Source organism: Homo sapiens, chromosome 4 (assembly GCF_000001405.40).
Source record: "Homo sapiens chromosome 4, GRCh38.p14 Primary Assembly".
NCBI lineage: Eukaryota > Metazoa > Chordata > Mammalia > Primates > Hominidae > Homo > Homo sapiens.
Window position 1 is genome coordinate 119,267,613 of NC_000004.12, and position 20,562 is coordinate 119,288,174.

At 36.4% G+C, this 20,562-nt stretch overlaps 1 protein-coding gene across 33 annotated transcripts in view; it reads left to right on the forward strand.

The window, feature by feature from the left end:
* USP53 (ubiquitin specific peptidase 53) overlaps positions 1-20,562 on the forward strand; it is an 82,918-nt gene that overhangs the window by 55,012 nt on the left and 7,344 nt on the right. For 26 of the 33 annotated variants that reach the window (XM_017008313.2, XM_047415829.1, XM_047415828.1 and 23 more), the window contains 4 exons: positions 656-808; positions 2,079-2,225; positions 3,684-4,422; positions 6,020-6,096. In XM_017008313.2, the coding sequence (XP_016863802.1) occupies positions 656-808; positions 2,079-2,225; positions 3,684-4,422; positions 6,020-6,096 (1,116 nt within the window). The remainder of the gene's footprint in view (positions 1-655; positions 809-2,078; positions 2,226-3,683; positions 4,423-6,019; positions 6,097-20,562) is intronic. The other 7 variants (XM_047415837.1, XM_047415832.1, NM_001389661.1 and 4 more) reach the window with 1 other exon arrangement.

Consider the following 20,562-nt stretch of genomic DNA (forward strand, 5'->3'; position numbering starts at 1 on the left):
TTAGTAATTTTTGTTAGTATTTTGGAATGAACCTTTTCTCATCGGTGGCCTCAGAAGCACCTTCAGGAGTTACCCACTATTATGGTCACACAATCACAGAAGAGGCTTCATTAGTAGCTCTTTCTAGAAGTACATTTTAAGTGATTTAGTAAACTGGAAAAGTCCGAAACAGCTAGGTCATTTTTGGATGCATTATAAAGCAATTCAAAATTCTTAAATGATGTCAATCCGCTTAAGTTTTAAGTAACTTTTTTTACAGTTAAAAATAATCTGGGCCGGGCGCGGTGGCTCACGCCTGTAATCCCAATGCTTTGGGAGGCCGAGGCGGGTGGATCATGAGGTCAGGAGATCGAGACCATCCTGGCTAACAAGGTGAAACCCCGTCTCTACTAAAAATACAAAAAATTGGCCGGGCGCGGTGGCGGGCGCCTGTAGTCCCAGCTACTCGGGAGGCTGAGGCAGCAGAATGGCGTGAACCCGGGAGGCGGAGCTTGCAGTGAGCCGAGATTGCGCCACTGCAGTCCGCAGTCCGGCCTGGGCGACAGAGCGAGACTCCGTCTCAAAAAAAAAAAAAAAAAAAATCTGAAAAAAATGATTCAAACATCTCTTCTCATGGGAAGGAAAGGAATGATACATTTTTGCTTCTCTTTTTAAGGATGTGAAAAGCCTGTAATTCATAAGTCAGATAATTTAAAAGAAAATGGATTTGGTGATCAGGCAAAGCAGAGAGAAAATCAGAAATTTCCAACTGATAATATTTCATCATCTAATCGGAGCCACAGTCACACAGGTGTAGGGAAAGGACCAGGTATGTGTTTAAATTGTCATTTTTACATAGTTCCAAGTGAGTGTCCTCCTTTCTTCACTTATCGGAGGATGCTTACCTAGCTTTCCTTGGCTGTGAAAAGATAATAACAAATAGATAACAAAATTCGTCTTTTGATTTATGCATTTCTCTGAGAGCTGTAGTTTTACCTGACCAGTTTGATTCCATGAGTTGTTTGAGTTTCTTCATGCACTCAGACTGTGGTAGGCCTGAGGCAATCTGGACAGTTACCAAATAAAGCAATAATGTGGCATTTCATTCAAGGAGTTAATTATCAGCTTGGAGCAGAAAAACATGAGTTAGTAATTTGGCATAAATGCCAAAATTAAATTTACTGGTAGTGAATGCAACAGCAGTTCAAAGTTACTATTGCTGTAGTTTGTTCTTAACCTCGTTTTTATTCAACTCTGTCTTGTTACTGTTATCCCATAACTAATTTTTACAAGCCAGGTTCTGTAACTTGGGTCCAGAATGAAACCTCACAATACTGTGTACCATTACAGTTTAGAAATACATCTAACTCTTGTGTGGATGTTCAGGATGATTTTGTTAGCAACCTTTAAACATATTAATGAAATAATGTGTAATCATAAAAGTAACTCATTTAATCAAGGGTAGTAAGATTGAGAATTAACAGTTATCCACAAAAAACTAAAATAAAGGCTTTTTAAAAATTCTTAATGAAGCTGTATCTCTTTTCCTTTCACAGATTATTGATACTCTTAGATTCAGACATTTTATGTTTTTCAAAAGACACCTAGTTTTAAGCCCAGAAATAGTATATATGTGTGTAAGAATAGAAGCATTGGAACAAGACAACTTGGGTTCATATTCCTGGTTCTAGACTTACAAACTTTGTGAACTTGGGCAAATTTCTAATTTCTCTCTGCCTCAGTTTCCTTACCCAAAATAGAGACAGTAATTGTACCTCAAAGAAGTAAATGAGTAAGACAACTGGCAAATAGTGACCATTCAGTTACCTTTAGCTCTTATTATTTTAATGGCAGATCTCTTTCTTTTTTTATACTTGTTTTAGGGGCTATACAAGGAGTTTTAAAATACAACATGCATCTCCAGTGTCAAGAAAAATCACATCTAGTTTTTAATCATAAAAATACCATTGTATACTATATATCTACATATCTATGCTCTTTTTAAATATATCTTAACATTTTTATATAGATCAATTTTTATTTTTATTGGGCAATTTGAAAAATGATCTGTATCATAGTAAGAATGATTTCTTTTACAGCTAAGTTAAGTCACATTGATCAAAGGGAAAAGATAAAAGACATTTCCAGAGAATGTGCTCTGAAAGCTATTGAACAGAAAAACTTACTTTCTTCACAAAGGAAAGATTTAGAGAAGGGACAAAGAAAAGATTTAGGACGACATAGAGGTAAGTTAAGATCTTGTACTATTGATTTTAAAAGGAACTTCTAAAAATCTTATTTTAAAACTGAATTTTATAACTTTAATTTCTGTATATGTTAAATAATATATATTAAAAATACATAAATATATAAGTTAAATATATATACCTATATCTAATATAGAAATATATAAATTACATATATTTCTGTATATGTATAAATATATAAATTATATATAATTTATATAGTTTATATATAGAAATTAAATTATATTAAAGTTATTTTTAATAACTTTATTTTGAAGAGGTGAGAGTTCACTCTTGTCCAGCCTAGAGTGCAGTGACACAATCATAGCTCTCTGCAGTCTTGAACTCCTGGGTTCAAGCTCTCCTCACGTCTTAGCCTCCTGAGTAGCTAGGACTACAGGCACATGCCACCACACCTGGCTAAATTTTAAAAAGTTATTTGTAGAGATAGGGTCTTGCCATGTTGCTCAGAGTGGTCTTGAACTGCTGGCCTCAAACGATCCTCTTACCTCAGCCTCCCAAAGTGCTGGGATTACAGGGGTACCCAGACCTATTATATTTTATATATTTATTAATATGAGTTCTTTAATACACCTATACTAAATCTAAATATGCAAAATATCCTGGTTTGTTCTTAATTCTAACCTGGGATACTTGTATATATGTGTTTCGATGTTTTAACTTACTTACAGATATAATTCACTCATGGCACATTCAAGTAATAAGGAAGTTTATAAAATTAAGTGAAGGGACTCCTTTTCTGGCAATCCCTGACCTTCCCCCTCTTTACTTAGTATTTCCATTTCCACATTATAAGCATGTCTCTTTATGGTTCTATGCTTTTTTCTTTATGGACAGAGCATAATTTAACTGATAGTGATAGACTTTACAGGCTGATTTAAGATTTTTGCTTCAGCAACATCTTTTTTCACACATACCTTTATACGTTTTTGCCTAGAGCCATAGCATAAAATTCCTTCAGAGGAATTTCTGGGTCAGGATATGTTTACTTTTAATTTTGACAGATGTGGCTCAGTTGCCCTCTTGAAAGACTGAACTAGTCTGCACTCCCACCAACAATGATTGGATGTCTGTTTGTTCACACTCTCAGCAACAATTGGTTTAACAAACTTTTAAATCTTTACCAATATAAGAAGTGGAAAATATTTTTATGATTTTTGTTATGAGTGAGATAGAGTGCTTATTTTTTTAAAAACTGCCTCAATTATGATCTACCTTAGAGATCATTTTTTGAAGTTTCTTTTACAAATACCCCTCATTAAGCATACACAAGGACTGGAAAATCACTTTTTAATCTCAAAGCAGTATGTGATATGTACTTGTAATTACTATTTACCTAAAACTCTTTAACATTTTATCTCTAACAGGTATTTGCCTTGTGACTACAAGGTGGCTCTGAGGAGTAATTCATGTGTATCTTTAATTTTTTTTTTTAAGATTTGGTTGATGAAGACCTTTCACATTTCCAATCTGGATCACCTCCTGCCCCAAATGGTTTTAAACAACATGGGAATCCACATCTATATCATAGTCAAGGAAAAGGATCATATAAACATGACCGAGTTGTACCTCAGAGTCGAGCTTCTGCACAAATAATAAGTTCAAGTAAATCCCAGATTCTTGCTCCAGGAGAGAAAATAACTGGCAAAGTTAAGAGTGACAATGGCACTGGATATGACACAGACAGCAGCCAAGATTCTAGGGATAGAGGAAACAGCTGTGATAGCAGCAGTAAAAGCCGGAACCGAGGTTGGAAACCTATGAGAGAAACATTAAATGTTGATAGTATTTTTAGTGAAAGTGAAAAAAGACAGCATAGTCCAAGACATAAACCAAATATCAGTAATAAGCCTAAATCTAGCAAGGATCCGAGTTTTAGTAATTGGCCAAAAGAGAATCCAAAGCAAAAAGGTTTAATGACCATATATGAAGATGAAATGAAGCAGGAAATAGGAAGCAGAAGTTCCCTTGAATCTAATGGAAAAGGAGCAGAGAAAAATAAAGGCCTTGTAGAGGGTAAAGTGCATGGTGATAATTGGCAGATGCAAAGGACTGAGTCTGGATATGAAAGCAGTGATCACATCAGTAATGGTTCTACTAATTTGGACTCACCTGTTATCGATGGAAATGGTACAGTAATGGATATCAGTGGTGTTAAAGAAACAGTATGCTTCAGGTAATGTAAAAGTTGAGTGAATCATTTTTCCATCACTCTTCTTTTTTGTTAATTGCATGAAGTAATTTTTGAAGTTTGGGGTCAATTAAATAGAACAGAAACAGCATGAGCTGTTTTAAAGAGCTTTAAAAAGTTTGTTTCTTTTAAACACAAGTATGTTTCTGTAAAGAAACCTAGGATATTGTAGTTTATTTGATATTTTAGATTTCCATTTTGAATAGTTATTTCCTGATTCCAAAAATAGCAGCTTTTTATTTTTAGAAAATTTGGAAAGTACAGAAGTTTATTATCATTGTTGTGTCACTGTCAACAATTGATTGGTTTTAAAGCACAGACTTCAATTGGTATCATCTAAGTCATTAAGGTGGTTGTTTAATTCTTCTTTTTTTGGTGGGAGGGGAAGGAGTCTCACTCTGTTGCCCAGGCTGGAGTGCAGTGGCGCAATTACGGGTCACTGCAACCTCCGCCTCCCAGGTTCAAGCGATTCTCCTGCCTTAACTTCCCAAGTAGCTGGGACTACAGACACGCACCACCACGCCTGGCTAATTTTTGTATTTTTAGAGACGGGGTTTCCCCAGGCTACTCTTGAACTCCCAACCTCAGGTGATCCACCTGCCTTGGCCTCCCAAAGTGCTGGGATTACAGGCCTGAGCCACTATGCCCAGGCTGTTGTTTAATTCTTCAATCTATATAATGTTTATAATCCCATCTCTAACATTTGTAACTCAGAACTGAAGCTAGTTTTTACTGTCACACTCATTCTCATGGAAGAGATATTTTCCCTTTAGCAAATATAAAAAAAATCAGCCAAATAACTTTGTGTTCGATTAATTCTAAATACATTTATTATATTACTGTTTAATCCTTCTAACAATGTGTTTGTTTGATATTAGCTGATATTTGACCACATTTGTTATTAAAAGGTAGATTTGCAAAAATCAACTGCTCATGTTTTATGAAAATGCTTGTTTCAATAAAGACTTAAGGAAAGGGCCAGGTGTAGTGTTTACACACCTGTAATCACAGCACCTTGGGAGGCTGAGGCAGGAGGATTGCTTGAGCCCAGGAGTTCAATACTAGCCTGAGCAACATGGAAAGATCTCATCATCTCTAGGAAACAGTTTTAAAATATTAGCCAGGTATTGTGGCATATGCCTGTGGTCCCAGCTACTTGGGAGGCTGAGGTGGGAGGATTTTTGAGCCCAGGAGGTCGAGGCTGCAGTGAACCATGTTTGTACCACTGCACTCCATCCTGGGCAAAAGAGCAAAAGGTCCTGGCTCAAAAAAAAAAAAAAAGACTTGACAAGGTAATTTTATAATTCTTCTTGGAATGGAGTAGCCTAGGGTAGTAGAAAGATCAGGACTTTATAACCAGATAGACTTAGATTTTAATTATTGGGCAAATTAATTTGACTTTTACAGTCTTTATCTTCTGTAAAATGAAGATAACAACTACTTTTAAGTATTAAATAATGTACATTAAGCCCTAGAACAGCACATGGCATATAATAAATGTTTAACAAATGTTGTTTTTTTTTAGACTAAACAAAGGCAGTCCATAATACCTGATGTGTTTAGTGTGTATTTTATTTTCTAGTGACCAGATTACGACAAGCAACCTAAATAAAGAACGTGGGGACTGTACCTCCCTTCAGAGCCAACATCACTTAGAAGGTAAAAAACTTATTTGAATATAATAGTTGCTGTAAAAAATGAATTATAGTAATTTATTGTTTGCTATTATGTATCTGAGAGAAAATCCTATATGACTATAAAAATTATTTTTAAATAACCCTAAAATATCAATAAACAAGTTTTATTAAGTTAATATATGTTTTAATGAAGTACATGTGGAAAGAAGGAAATCAGCATTCTTTTTTGTATTGTATTGTCATACAAAAGAAAGCATGCTATACTTTCCACATTGACTTCACAAAGTGTTAATAATGGTTTTGTATCTTACTTTTTATTTGATTGGATAACTATTGCTTTTGAAGTTTGCAGCCTTTTTTTTTTTTCTTGGTCCTCTTGTTTTATTTTTTTATTATTATTTTTTATTTATTTATTTATTTTTTTATTATACTTTAAGTTTTAGGGTACATGTGCACATTGTGCAGGTTAGTTACATATGTATACATGTGCCATGCTGGTGCGCTGCACCACTAACTCGTCATCTAGCATTAGGTATATCTCCCAGTGCTATCCCTCCCCCCTCCCCCCACCCCACCGCAGTCCCCAGAGTGTGATATTCCCTTTCCTGTGTCCATGTGATCTCATTGTTCAATTCCCACCTATGAGTGAGAATATGCCGTGTTTGGTTTTCTGTTCTTGAGATAGTTTACTGAGAATGATGATTTCCAATTTCATCCATGTCCCTACAAAGGACACGAACTCATCATTTTTTATGGCTGCATAGTATTCCATGGTGTATATGTGCCACATTTTCTTAATCCAGTCTATCATTGTTGGACATTGGGTTGGTTCCAAGTCTTTGCTATTGTGAATAATGCCGCAATAAACATACGTGTACATGTGTCTTTATAGCAGCATGATTTATAGTCATTTGGGTATATACCCAGTAATGGGATGGCTGGGTCAAATGGTATTTCTAGTTCTAGATCCCTGAGGAATCGCCACACTGACTTCCACAAGGGTTGAACTAGTTTACAGTCCCACCAACAGTGTAAAAGTGTTCCTATTTCTCCACATCCTCTCCAGCACCTGTTGTTTCCTGACTTTTTAATGATCACCATTCTAACTGGTGTGAGATGGTATCTCATTGTGGTTTTGATTTGCATTTCTCTGATGGCCAGTGATGATGAGCATTTTTTCATGTGTTTTTTGGCTGCATAAATGTCTTCTTTTGAGAAGTGTCTGTTCATGTCCTTTGCCCACTTTTTGATGGGGTTGTTTGTTTTTTTCTTGTAAATTTGTTTGAGTTCATTGTAGATTCTGGATATTAGCCCTTTGTCAGATGAGTAGGTTGCGAAAATTTTCTCCCATTTTGTAGGTTGCCTGTTCACTCTGATGGTAGTTTCTTTTGCTGTGCAGAAGCTCTTTAGTTTAATTAGATCCCATTTGTCAATTTTGGCTTTTGTTGCCATTGCTTTTGGTGTTTTGGACATGAAGTCCTTGCCCATGCCTATGTCCTGAATGGTAATGCCTAGGTTTTCTTCTAGGGTTTTTATGGTTTTAGGTCTAACGTTTAAATCTTTAATCCATCTTGAATTGATTTTTGTATAAGGTGTAAGGAAGGGATCCAGTTTCAGCTTTCTCCATATGGCTAGCCAGTTTTCCCAGCACCATTTGTTAAATAGGGAATCCTTTCCCCATTGCTTGTTTTTCTCAGGTTTGTCAAAGATCAGATAGTTCTAGATATGTGGCGTTATTTCTGAGGGCTCTGTTCTGTTCCATTGATCTATATCTCTGTTTTGGTACCAGTACCATGCTGTTTTGGTTACTGTAGCCTTGTAGTATAGTTTGAAGTCAGGTAGTGTGATGCCTCCAGCTTTGTTCTTTTGGCTTAGGATTGACTTGGCGATGCGGGCTCTTTTTTGGTTCCATATGAACTTTCAAGTAGTTTTTTCCAATTCTGTGAAGAAAGTCATTGGTAGCTTGATGGGGATAGCATTGAATCTGTAAATTACCTTGGGCAGTATGGCCATTTTCACGATATTGATTCTTCCTACCCATGAGCATGGAATGTTCTTTCATTTGTTTGTATCCTCTTTTATTTCCTTGAGCAGCGGTTTGTAGTTCTTCTTGAAGAGGTCCTTCACATCCCTTGTAAGTTGGATTCCTAGGTATTTTATTCTCTTTGAAGCAGTTGTGAATGGGAGTTCACTCACGATTTGGCTCTCTGTTTGTCTGTTGTTGGTGTATAAGAATGCTTGTGATTTTTGTACATTGATTTTGTATCCTGAGACTTTGCTGAAGTTGCTTATCAGCTTAAGGAGATTTTGGGCTGAGACAATGGGGTTTTCTAGATATACAATCATGTCGTCTGCAAACAGGGACAATTTGACTTCCTCGTTTCCTAATTGAATACCCTTTATTTCCTTCTCCTGCCTAATTGTCCTGGCCAGAACTTCCAACACTATGTTGAATAGGAGTGGTGAGAGAGGGCATCCCTGTCTTGTGCCAGTTTTCAAAGGGAATGCTTCCAGTTTTTGCCCATTCAGTATGATATTGGCTGTGGGTTTGTCATAGATAGCTCTTATTATTTTGAAATACGTCCCATCAATACCTAATTTATTGAGAGTTTTTAGCATGAAGCATTGTTGAATTTTGTCAAAGGCTTTTTCTGCATCTATTGAGATAATCATGTGGTTTTTGTCTTTGGCTCTGTTTATATGCTGGATTACATTTATTGATTTGCGTGTATTGAACCAGCCTTGCATCCCAGGGATGAAGCCCACTTGATCATGGTGGATAAGCTTTTTGATGTGCTGCTGGATTTGTTTTGCCAGTATTTTATTGAGGATTTTAGCATCAATGTTCATCAAGGATATTGGTCTAAAATTCTCTTTTTTGGTTGTGTCTCTGCCCGGCTTTGGTATCAGAATGATGCTGGCCTCATAAAATGAGTTAGGGAGGATTCCCTCTTTTTCTATTGATTGGAATAGTTTCAGAAGGAATGGTACCAGTTCCTCCTTGTACCTCTGGTAGAATTCAGCTGTGAATCCATCTGGTCCTGGACTCTTTTTGGTTGGTAAACTATCGATTATTGCCACAATTTCAGCTCCTGTTATTGGTCTATTCAGAGATTCAACTTCTTCCTGGTTTAGTCTTGGGAGAGTGTATGTGTTGAGGAATTTATCCATTTCTTCTAGATTTTCTAGTTTATTTGCGTAGAGGTGTTTGTAGTATTCTCTGATGGTAGTTTGTATTTCTGTGGGATCGGTGGTGATATCCCCTTTATCATTTTTTATTGTGTCTATTTGATTCTTCTCTCTTTTTTTCTTTATTAGTCTTGCTAGTGGTCTATCAATTTTGTTGATCCTTTCAAAAAACCAGCTCCTGGATTCATTGATTTTTTGAAGGTTTTTTTGTGTCTCTATTTCCTTCAGTTCTGCTCTGATTTTAGTTATTTCTTGCCTTCTGCTAGCTTTTGAATGTGTTTGCTCTTGCTTTTCTAGTTCTTTTAATTGTGATGTTAGGGTGTCAATTTTGGATCTTTCCTGCTTTCTCTTGTGGGCATTTAGTGCTATAAATTTCCCTCTACACACTGCTTTGAATGCGTCCCAGAGATTCTGGTATGTTGTGTCTTTGTTCTCGTTGGTTTCAAAGAACATCTTTATTTCTGCCTTCATTTCGTTATGTACCCAGTAGTCATTCAGGAGCAGGTTGTTCAGTTTCCATGTAGTTGAGCGGCTTTGAGTGAGATTCTTAATCCTGAGTTCTAGTTTGATTGCACTGTGGTCTGAGAGATAGTTTGTTATAATTTCTGTTCTTTTACATTTGCTGAGGAGAGCTTTACTTCCAACTATGTGGTCAATTTTGGAATAGGTGTGGTGTGGTGCTGAAAAAAATGTATATTCTGTTGATTTGGGGTGGAGAGTTCTGTAGATGTCTATTAGGTCTGCTTGGTGCAGAGCTGAGTTCAATTCCTGGGTATCCTGGTTGACTTTCTGTCTCGTTGATCTGTCTAATGTTGACAGTGGGGGGTTAAAGTCTCCCATTATTAATGTGTGGGAGTCTAAGTCTCTTTGTAGGTCACTCAGGACTTGCTTTATGAATCTGGGTGCTCCTGTATTGGGTGCATATATATTTAGGATAGTTAGCTCTTCTTGTTGAATTTATCCCTTTACCATTATGTAATGGCCTTCTTTGTCTCTTTTGATCTTTGTTGGTTTAAAGTCTGTTTTATCAGAGACTAGGATTGCAACCCCTGCCTTTTTTTGTTTTCCATTGGCTTGGTAGATCTTCCTCCATCCTTTTATTTTGAGCCTATGTGTGTCTCTGCACGTGAGATGGGTTTCCTGAATACAGCACACTGATGGGTCTTGACTCTTTATCCAATTTGCCAGTCTGTGTCTTTTAATTGGAGAATTTAGTCCATTTACATTTAAAGTTACTATTGTTATGTGTGAATTTGATCCTGTCATTATGATGTTAGCTGGTGATTTTGCTCGTTAGTTGATGCAGTTTCTTCCTAGTCTCGATGGTCTTTACATTTTGGCATGATTTTGCAGCGGCTGGTACCGGTTGTTCCTTTCCATGTTTAGCGCTTCCTTCAGGAGCTCTTTTAGGGCAGGCCTAGTGGTGACAAAATCGGTCAGCATTTGCTTGTCTGTGAAGTATTTTATTTCTCCTTCACTTATGAAGCTTAGTTTGGCTGGATATGAAATTCTGGGTTGAAAATTCTTTTCTTTAAGAATGTTGAATATTGGCCCCCACTCTCTTCTGGCTTGTAGGGTTTCTGCCGAGAGATCCACTGTTAGTCTGATGGGCTTCCCTTTGAGAGTAACCCGACCTTTCTCTCTGGCTGCCCTTAACATTTTTTCCTTCATTTCAACTTTGGTGAATCTGACAATTATGTGTCTTGGAGTTGCTCTTCTTGAGGAGTATCTTTGTGGCGTTCTCTGTATTTCCTGAATCTGAACGTTGGCCTGCCTTGCTAGATTGGGGAAGTTCTCCTGGATAATATCCTGCAGAGTGTTTTCCAACTTGGTTCCATTCTCCCCATCACTTTCAGGTACACCAATTAGACGTAGATTTGGTCTTTTCACATAGTCCCATATTTCTTGGAGGCTTTGCTCATTTCTTTTTATTCTTTTTTCTCTAACCTTCCCTTCTCGCTTCATTTCATTCATTTCATCTTCCATTGCTGATACCCTTTCTTCCAGTTGATCACATCGGCTCCTGAGGCTTCTGCATTCTTCACGTAGTTCTCGAGCCTTGGTTTTCAGCTCCATCAGCTCCTTTAAGCACTTCTCTGTATTGGTTATTCTAGTTATACATTCTTCTAAACTTTTTTCAAAGTTTTCAACTTCTTTGCCTTTGGTTTGAATGTCCTCCCGTAGCTCAGAGTAATTTGATCGTCTGAAGCCTTCTTCTCTCAGCTCGTCAAAGTCATTCTCCATCCAGCTTTGTTCTGTTGCTGGTGAGGAACTGCGTTCCTTTGAAGGAGGAGAGGCGCTCTGCGTTTTAGAGTTTCCAGTTTTTCTGTTCTGTTTTTTCCCCATCTTTGTGGTTTTATCTACTTTTGGTCTTTGATGATGGTGATGTACAGATGGGTTTTTGGTGTGGATGTCCTTTCTGTTTGTTAGTTTTCCTTCTAACAGACAGGACCCTCAGCTGCATGTCTGTTGGAGTACCCTGCCGTGTGAGGTGTCAGTGTGCCCCTGCTGGGGGGTGCCTCCCAGTTAGGCTGCTCGGGGGTCAGGGGTCAGGGACCCACTTGAGGAGGCAGTCTGCCGGTTCTCAGATCTCCAGCTGCGTGCTGGGAGAACCACTGCTCTCTTCAAAGCTGTCAGACAGGGACACTTAAGTCTGCAGAGGTTACTGCTGTCTTTTTGTTTGTCTGTGCCCTGCCCCCAGAGGTGGAGCCTACAGAGGCAGGCAGGCCTCCTTGAGCTGTGGTGGGCTCCACCCAGTTCGAGCTTCCTGGCTGCTTTGTTTACCTAAGCAAGCCTGGGCAATGGCGGGCGCCCCTCCCCCAGCCTCGCTGTCGCCTTGCAGTTTGATCTCAGACTGCTGTGCTAGCAGTCAGCGAGATTCCATGGGCGTAGGACCCTCTGAGCCAGGTGTGGGATATAATCTCGTGGTTCGCCGCTTTTTAAGCCGGTCCGAAAAGCGCAATATTCGGGTGGGAGTGACCCGATTTTCCAGGTGCGTCCGTCACCCCTTTCTTTGACTCGGAAAGGGGACTCCCTGACCCCTCGTGCTTCCCAGGTGAGGCAATGCCTCGCCCTGCTTTGGCTCGCACACGGTGCGCACACCCACTGGCCTGCGCCCACTGTCTGGTACTCCCTAGTGAGATGAACCCGGTACCTCAGATGGAAATGCAGAAATCACCCGTCTTCTGCGTCGCTCACGCTGGGAGCTGTAGACTGGAGCTGTTCCTATTCGGCCATCTTGGCTCCTCCCCCGTTTGCAGCCTTTTTTCATGTGCTGTTTGGATATGTCTCTTATTAAAGATAGCATTAGATTGCTTCCTTTTTTGATTTAGATGATGAAGTCTTTCAATGTTTTTTTTTTTTTGGTAGCAGTTTGCATTTTAAGTGTCCACATTAGGGACCCTTGAACACATTGCTTTTGATACTAGCCCTTAAAACTGTGATTTGAGACCCAGATAGGCAGGAGTATCTGTCTATGGTGGCTTGTTAACACTTTACTTTTACTTAACAGAAGGTATATTTCTATATTTGCAAAGAAAAATGTCATATTCTGATAGCTTAGAAACTGGCTGTAGACTGTTGGTCTTTCTGACTTTATTTACCTCCTACCTTTTATGTCTATGGGAAATAGGCATAAAAAGAGAATGGTCCATTGAGGTAAGCGTAAAGAAAATAAGAATGGTCCTGTTACTGATAAGTTTATGAGTAATGATGAGGGAAGTTGAGAGCATTCATACTTGAAGGCTTTTAAAAGATGGGAAAGCTATGAGAAAAGGGGAAACTCTATCAGGATAGGTAGGTTTTAGATTATGCAATGGTAGTATCTTCAAAATCTCAAGGTGTTAACTCAAGTTTGTTTCTTGCTGACAATACAAGTCCAGAGGTGGTCAGTGTAGTCTCTTCTTAGGAGTCACTCAGGATCCCAGGCTAAGGGGATATGGGTGAGGAGGACATAAAGGAAGATATATTGTGGAGAATCACGTGCCAACTCTTAAAACTTCAAACCCGAAGTGACACATGCACTTCCACTTCTGTATCATTGACCAGAGCTAGTCTTCTAACCAGGCCTGATTTCAGAGAAGGTAGAAAAGTGCAATTTTACAGGTGCTTGGAATTGAATGGAAGTATGTGTGAACAACTCTAATGACTGCCATAGTAGTTAAGAACACATAGAAAGATTGATAAAGAGCCTTCTGGAAAAGTTCAATTTGGCACCAATAACTATGCAATGGTGTGGGATTATTATAGGCGATTTGTTAGCAACACATAACAGCCCAGAAGCAAAGAAAGTTAGATATTTGAACGTATACAGGATTCAGGGTTCCTATTGGGAGTACATACCTGAAGAATTTGGGCGAGAGAAGTCAAGGAAGATGATTAGCAAAGGGATTATTATGTTGCAATCAAAGACAATGTTTTCAAATTTTATAATTCAGAGGAGTAGAAGGGATATAATTTTTCACAATATAAAAGAGCAATGAACAGCAAATTTTAAAGTTTTTTAGTCTTTGTTATGCTTAAGGCTTTTGTGGGGATTATTTTTCAGTTTGCAGACAAAGAATGTGATTAAATGTTAAATTATTTTGTTTTCATCAAATGGTATACTATCAGAAGGAAACACTTATATTAAGGAAATAACCTTCCTTTCCCATATTAGAATGTCTCGCCTGATAAAATCTGATAAGTTTGGTAACCAAGTATTACAGGAAACAGTAAAGGGTTGGCCAGAAATCATAGCAAAAGTCAGTGAGATTGAACAATAACTGCAAGTTCAGTACTTGTTACAAAATGATGCTTGCTTCCTGATAGTTATAAAAACACAAGATCGTAGAGATTTTGATGGTCAGAAGTGCATTGCTGTAAGAACTTTGCAGGAGGTTTCCTCATTTAATATGAAAGTGTGTGTGTGATGCACTTAAAAATGCTTTTTTGTGGTAAAATATGTATAGCCAAATTTGCCATTCTAACTATTTTTAAGTGTACAGTTCAGTGGCATTAAGTATATTCACACTGTTGTGCAACGATTACTACCATCCATCTCCAGAACTTTTCTATCTTCTCAAACTGAAGTTCTCTACCCATTAAACAGCTCCCCATTCTCCCCTCCTCCCAGCCCTTGGCAATCACCATTCTACTTTTTGTCTCTGTGAATTGGACTATTTTAGGTACCTCATATAGGTGGAACCATATGATATTTGTCCTCTTGTGTGTGAGTTATTTCACTTAGCATGATGACTTCAGGGTTCCTCCATGTTGTAGATGTATCAGAATCTCATTCCTTTTTAAGACTGAGTAACATTCTATTGTATTATATACCACATCTTGTTTATGCTTTCATCTGTAAGTGGACATGTGGGTTGTTATTATCCTTTGGCTATTGTGAATAATGCTGCAATGAATATTAGTGTGCAAATGTCTGTTTGAGTTCCTACTTTGAAATCTTTTGAATATATACCCAAAAGTGCAGTTGCTGGGTCCTGTGGTGGTTATATGTTTAATGTTTTCAAGAACTGCTGTACTATTTTTACAGCAGCTGCACCATTTTACATTCCCACCAGCAGTGCATAAGGACTCCAGTCTCTCCATATCCTCACTAGCACTTGTTATTTTCTGTTTTAATAGGTATCATATTGTGGTTTTGTGTAACCCACTCTTTATTTAACTAAATAAATTATACTATTTTAAAGTTATTTCTGATTTCATAAACTTTCTACTTCAAAGCCTACTACGGTTCTCTAAGCCAGTCTTTGACTTCAGAACATCTGTTTGTGTTGTGCCTTGTGGTATTATGTATTCCCTTCCCCCAGTCTGGGACTGAGAATATGTGGAAAAGTGATATAGGAATTTTTTCCCAAATTAAAAACTTGCTGTGCATGGTTTTTTCCCCCAATAAGGGACAATTTATTATAATTTTGTGACTATATATGATTTTCTTGGTCATTCCTATTTCTTATTTATAAAATGAGGGCACACTTACATTACTGACCTATAGAATCATTTTATATCAATAGCTAAAAGACTTAAAATTTAAAGAGCCTTAGAAATTTCTTACTTTCATATTTTCTTGACATTTTGTCAATTTTTAATATTAGTCTATGCAAGTATATTTAATGGTAGAGGACCAAAATCTATAATAATGCCACCGTTATTTCTTTTTTTATTCCATTAATAGAGATATTATATAGGCTTGTCTGCCTATGTCATGATGAATTCTGCTGCAAAAATTCATCCCTACACTGCCTAAAGTTGTTATATTTGGGAACATTGTTTAAATTGCCACAATGCCATTTGTAATGTTTTAGCCCCTGTTTTAAAATGGAATTGTAGTGGAGGGATTTCACACGCCTTAAATTATATTCAAGACAGAAGAAATGATATGTTTAAAACATTGTCAGGAGAAAGCATCACATATTTGAAGAACACAAGTAGTTTGGTATATGCAGGGCAGAAGTGCATGCATGGAATTATGGGATAATGGCAACAGGGATAGAAGCGAAATTATGCTGAAAATTTGTGCTATTTTTTAATCATAGAGGAAATGGAGAGGCACCAAAGGATAAGAAAAATGGTATACTGTAATTTGCATTTTGGAAAAGACTGTGGTGGTGGTAGTATAGAGGATAAATTTGGGACAGTGGGAGAAAAATTAGTTAGATGATGATTGTAATAGCCTAGGAGAGAAAAGTTGGGGGCAGTACCAATGTCAAGAAATATTTGAGAGATGATAAGCGTATGTGGGCAGGATAATTAGTTAGCTTTTGTGACACGTACCAAATGAGAGAAAGGGAAGCAGGGATAGATGTATTTGGGATGTATACAACTAGATTTACTATTTAGCAAAATGGGGAATATAGGAAGAAGGAACAGATTTTGGGGGTGGAAGGATGCCAAGTTTATATTTTAATTTGTTGAGTTTATCATCTAGGTAAACAGCATTATTAGGCAGTTAGGAATATAAGTCTAAAACTCAGGAAATATTATATATTTAATAACCATCCACCTATATAGGAATTGAATGCCACAGACACAGACAGGATCCTTCAGGAAAATTGGAGATCGAAGGGCAAGAAATAGACAAAGTAAGGAACATTGGCTTTGCTGAGGAAGAGAAGTGAGCTAAAGCTAGAGAGAAGGAGCAACTGTAGAAAGGAATGAGAAGGGGGAGCTGGAAAGATATGAGAAAATATTGGAGATGGGGTTATCAAAGGAAAAACAGAGAAGTGTAGATCTTTCAGGGGAAGAGTGTCCATAGATTAAGCAGAATAAGGATTAAAAAGTGCCAGTTTGATTTAGCATTTATTAGTGGTATAGTAAAAGCAGTGTTTGAGGAACATTAGACATAGACGCAAGATTGAAGTAGAATTGAGGTATTTAGAAGTAAAGGGCCATGTTTGTAACTTAATCTCAAATGGTCCAGAAAAAAAAAAACCCTATTATTAAAATGTTAATAATAGCTGAATCTGGAGAAAGGATATAATATACTGCTTTTTTTCCATTAATAGAGATATTATATAGGCTTGTCTGCCTATGTCATGATGAATTCTGCTGCAAATATCCATCCCTAAACTGCCTAAAGCCATTATATTTGGGAACATTGTTTAAATTGCCACAATGCCATTTGGAATGTTTTAGCCCCCTTTTTAAAATGGAATTGTAGCGGAGGGATTTCACATGCCTTAAATTACATTCGAGACAGAAGAAATGATTTCTTCTTATAAAAAGTATGTTTTATACTTTTTAAATCTTTCAACTTTTCTGAATTTTGAAAATTTATTTCCAAGTAAAAAGTTAAAAGATTACAGTAGACTAATGGTTGCACAGCAGTGTGAATGTACTTAATGCCACTGAACTGTACACTTAAAAATAGTTAGAATAATAAATTTTGTTATGTATATTTTACCACAATAAAAAACCCTTGAAGTACATTATGTACTTTTTCATATTAACTGAGGACACCTATTGCAAAGTTCTTAGAGCAATGTGCTTTTGACCATGAAAATCTCTAAGACTTTATGTTTTTACAGCAGGAAGCAAGAGAAGTAAAGAAATGAATTTTTGTCTGTCTTTCCAAACGTTTGCTGTGAATAGCATACCTAGAGGAGAAAATGAAACTAAATGCTTAGTTTGCGTTTTGTTTTGTTTGTTTTCAAGTGGACATGCTTGGTATTTATATTGCAGAAGATAAGGAACTAATGTTGTACAGAGGGAGAGAAAGGCATGAAGAATAGAACAGAACAGTAATTGATGGAGTAAGACCCTTTAGGCAGAGTGAGAAGGAAACAAGGTAAAGACAGAATTTGAATGAAAAGGATGGCAGCTTTTCTGTGATGAAGGAGAGAAAGATGAGAGCAGATACTGATTAGTGTGTATTTGTGTTAGGTAGAACAGCTGAAGTGTTTATACCTAATGGACTTTCTTTTTTTTATGAGGTACGGTTATCTACTGAGGTAAGTACATAGTAGGTTAGGATATTTATAGATCATATGTAACAGATCACAAAAGAATTATTAGGTCTTTCAAGAACTTTTGCCATTTGCTTCCAGAGTCTGCAATACTTGGCTTAATCTCAGTTGATCCTAGAAGTCAGGATTAGTTAATGCTGAGAGTCATGATCTGGGACATAACAAATAAGAGTGAAAGAAGTTAATCAGTGGTTTAAAAATCTGTTAAGTCCCTTATTTCTTCTTGTACAAATAGTCTGTACCTCCACTTTCTTAAGTGAAATATACTGTCCTTAATGTTGTTACATCCTAGAATTAAGTCAATAAAAAATTTTGTCAGAAGTGTTTATACATATACATAAGTTTTCTCTAAGATGTTTTTGGCAAACTACCAAGTTTGTTCATTTAAGATAAATACATTAGAAAGTATATTTAGAGAAGTACTTTTGTCAGCCGATTTTTTTTCTATGCATTTTAAACATTTTTTCTCTAAGAATTTCACAAACTGGTAACACATAATCTCTTCTCTTGCTGTGGCCTACCCAGGACCACCAAATGGCTACCTATGTACTTTTTTAAAACTAAACTTCTGGGATTGAAATTTGCTTTGTAGCAAAATAGCAATATTTGCTTTTCCTTTAAATTATAATCCAAGTGCAAAAAGCATTTATTGACTCCTGCTTTATTATTTTGTAAAATCCCCAAATTTAGGTTTCAGATAGTATAGATTATTACTACATATTAAAGTATCTCTCTACTCCTTTTAGTATGTAGTAAATTTATCCATAAATATTTATCTAGTTAAAGTTTTCTGATTTTTCTAAAATATTCAAATTTATTTCAAATGTATTTTTATTGTAAATTCAGTCATTGATTTGATTATTGCTGTTTAATGTTTAGGGTTTGTAAATATATATATATGTCTATTTTAAACATAGGTCTTTTTTTTAGATGAAATATATATTTTGATTTCTTGAATACTCTGCTTTGGGTTTTTTTGTATACAGAATCAAAATGGGCATTATTAAAGTTTCTTGCCTTGATACTGAGTTTTTTTTTTCTGTGTCAAAGCGTTAAAATTGGACTTAGATTTGCGAATAACCTGGAGCCAAAATTCCTCACAAAGACACATGGATGTCTATGTCAGCAGAAGAGAAAAATAACATATCTATTTTTAAGTTAGTTGGAATTCTGAAGTCAAACCACTTGGTTGAATGCCTGCCACAGTGATATTAAAATTTCAAACATGCTCATAAAACCTATGCTGCCTCCTGCTGCCCATTGTGTGAATAATTTATAAAAGTAAAGAATTACTTAAGAACTAAATATTTACTTGTTTCTTGTTTGTGAATATTAAACTTGAAATTATGAATTGGTGAATAAATTATGAATTGGCTAATAATATGAAGTTAAAAATCACACTGGGTAGCAAATTACATTTCAACTTAAAAATTAAGCTGTGAACATTGACAAATTATTGAAGTTCTTTTTGACATCTTATTTCTTGTCACATCTTTTTTTAATCATAAAATAGCTGTTGAAAAGATTGGCAAAGTTTTCGAGCCTCAGGCAGTGTGTCAGGCTTACCCACAGTGATTTTCTTAAACATGAAAAATAATATATTCCTTCTAGAGAGACTCTGGGATAAATTTTACTGCTTTTTAAAAGTGTTATGAGTATAGCACTTATAGACTTAAGTGGGAGGGAAAGATAAGATTTGTCTCAATTCATACTTAACTTGTCTTGCACCACTGAGTTGGGAACATGATGGGCAGGGTGGAGGTGACTTAAAAGAAGTAAAACTGTGTTTTTGAGGCAATTGTTTATTCTGCAGACCTTCATTTGAATGTCTTTTGTATGCTAGATACTGTGTTAACTTCTGGGCAAATTTTTTTTTTTAAAGGCACGTATATAATCAGAGCGCTTACAGCAATTTAGTGGAAGTAAACGTGTTAAATCTTAAATGAATGCCAGATTTATAGTTCCTCTCATTCTACCATCTTAAGTTTTTATTATTTACTATATGGAGCGATGTTGGCATAGAGGGTATTAAATTCTCATGTATATTACATGACTCTTTCTTGGAAATTGCTTCCAAGATTTAACTTGCAGAGCCTGATCATAATCAAATATAGATTATTTTTCCCCTATAGGGCAATACCTAAAAAATATCTAAGATAAAGAACACTTATTGTTTAAAAAATAAAATCACTGCTTTAATAACTTTGTTTTCTTTGCAGTCTTCATAGATTTGGTGTACAGTAAAGTAGAAACAGGAGAATGAGAGGAAAATGAGATAAATGAACATGATGAAAATGTCAACTAAAAATACGGGAGAATGCAGAAAAACTTACTAGAAATGTTACAGAAGTGTAGACGATTAATTGACAGTTCATGCTAATGCCATATATTTTGCTATCTTCTATGGGCATCAGCATGTTATTTGATGTTCACACTAGTGGCCTAGTTTCATCAGAAGGAGATTTAGTATAATGTCTTTGTATGTTAATGGCATAGTGCAGTGGCATGAGCACTAGCTTTGGAGTGAACCCTGGATTGGTTTAAATGCTCCTACTTACCAGATATATAGAATATAGATTAGGTCACTTAACTTCACTGAGCCTAAGTTTCCTCAAGTGTAAAAAGGGGAATTGTTTCACAGAACAGTTGTGACTGATGTTTTAAAAGACAACTATTACCAACTAGAACAGTAGTTGTCAAACTTTTGGGCCTCAGATATCTTTATAATCTTAGAAAAGGATTTATGACCTAAAAGAGCTTTTGTTATGGTTATGTCTTATATAGGTTATGTCTTATATAGGTTATGTCTATCAACATTTGCTAGATTAGGCACTAAA